This window comes from Homo sapiens, unplaced genomic scaffold (genome assembly GCF_000001405.40).
Source record: "Homo sapiens unplaced genomic scaffold, GRCh38.p14 Primary Assembly HSCHRUN_RANDOM_CTG6".
Classification (NCBI taxonomy): Eukaryota; Metazoa; Chordata; class Mammalia; order Primates; family Hominidae; genus Homo; species Homo sapiens.
This window is the reverse complement of record NT_167211.2, coordinates 92,380-94,209: the sequence shown is the minus strand read 5'-3', so window position 1 is coordinate 94,209 and position 1,830 is coordinate 92,380. Positions and strand designations below refer to the sequence as shown.

The window sequence follows — 1,830 nt, the reverse complement described above, 5'->3', positions numbered from 1 at the left end:
TCTTCATATTTATGTTTAAAAATATTTTTGAAACATTTTTAAACAGATTTTTTAGATACAGAGTATTGCTATGTTGCCTACGCTGGTCTGGAACTCCTGGGCTCCTCCAGCCTCAGCCTTCCAAAGTGTTGGGATTCCAGGCATGAGCCACTGTGCCTGTGTCTATTTATGGATTTTTTGTCTACATTTGGGACAACAAATCAAGTAAAATGTAACTTTAGAAGTTGATTATGATTATGCCTCAAGCAAATACTTAAAAAAAAAGAGAGAGAGAGAGATGGATAAAAGTTAATTTTGTGTATGTCTCAGGTAAACTATGTTAACTTGGGGAGACCAGCAGTAACCTGTTCTTTAAATCTCAGCTTTTATTGAATCTCACACAAAATTTTTCTCAGATATGTCACTAGACTACTTAAATAAGCCAGATTAGTATTTTTGCATACTTTATTAACTCTGCTTCTACTCAGAGTAAATTAGTTTTTGGAATGGAATGCAGTCAAAAAATCATCAAAATAATATCACAAAGCACTGAGTGGTCCAGTCTTTTGAACTTCTGACAATACCTTTGACTTAGAAACTTATTTGTGGGGAGTGGTATATTAATACTCTACATAAACATTGATTGAGCTCGGGGGGACTTTCTGTAGATACATTTAAAAATATGCTTTTTAGTAGAGACAGGGTCTCACTGTGTTGTCCAGGCTAGTCTCTAACTCCTGGGCTCAAATTATCCTCCCCACTTGGCCTCCCAAAAGGATTGGATTACAGGCATGAGCCACTGCCCCAAGCCTAAAATTTTTTTAAGTACCATTAGAATGTAAGGATTCTTTTTAAAAAATTTGATTGTGCAGGGTTGGTTATTCAACCAATATGCAATACAATATTCAATACTGTATATTCATCACTTCTCGGCCTTTTGGCTAAGATCAACTGTAGTATCTGTTGTTATTAATATAATATTTTATATTCAACCAATTGTCAATACAAGGCTGGTTGTATCTGATATGAACCAACATTGAGTTAAAAATGGACCTTTTTTATTTTTAAAAAGCTAATTAACTAGATTTGCTTACTTAAAATCAAAGCAATCAACTCGTTACAAGTCTAGAAATAAGGATTTTAAAATAAATTTTGAATTTTGACCTTATCTTTTCCCAGAAAGACTTTAAATTTATACTGGAAACCAAATAGGATATATTTTTGGGAGATTTGAGGCTATTAAAACAAAGGCAAACAAAGAAGTGACCTTCTAAAAGTCCTAGTAATGATTAGGTCCATTGTTTCAATTAAAGCATACCGTGCTTGAGAGATAAAGTGTATTAAATATTTGACTGTAACTTTGTATTAGAAATATGTTTTTCAAATCTATAAAAAGATTTACAAATCTATCTTTACCATGTTTTTCAGTTTTATGGTATTTCTTCCAGACCTCTCTTCCTGACATCTCCATTAGTGTCAAGTATTTCTTCAACCCCAGTGATGCAACGTGAGCCTATTTTTTAAAATGTAGTCTGGAAGCAATGTATAACATAGTCAGGAAGCAGTATGGATATATGGTTAAGCATATACACTATACACTTAACTGGGGTTAAGCAGAGATCATACTGCCTGACTTTAAGCACCTGTCCTACCACAGATGATCTTCTAGAAGCTGTTTAAATTAAACCTCTGAAGGTTTACATTTCCTCATTTGAAAAATGGAAATAATAAAGTAAACCCTCATGAGGTCCTTAAGAGTTTAAATGAAATAATCCATATAAAGTGCTTAAGTGCTGAACATAGCATCTGGTGTGCAATAATCATTCTATAAATGCTAATTGGTAAAATTAT

The 1,830-nt window shown here is 33.1% G+C and overlaps 1 pseudogene; it reads left to right on the top strand.

Annotated features, from left to right (window-relative positions):
- Nucleotides 1–900: 900 nt before the first annotated feature.
- On the top strand, nt 901–1,037 carry LOC124905314 (uncharacterized; annotated as a pseudogene).
- Nucleotides 1,038–1,830: the final 793 nt, after the last annotated feature.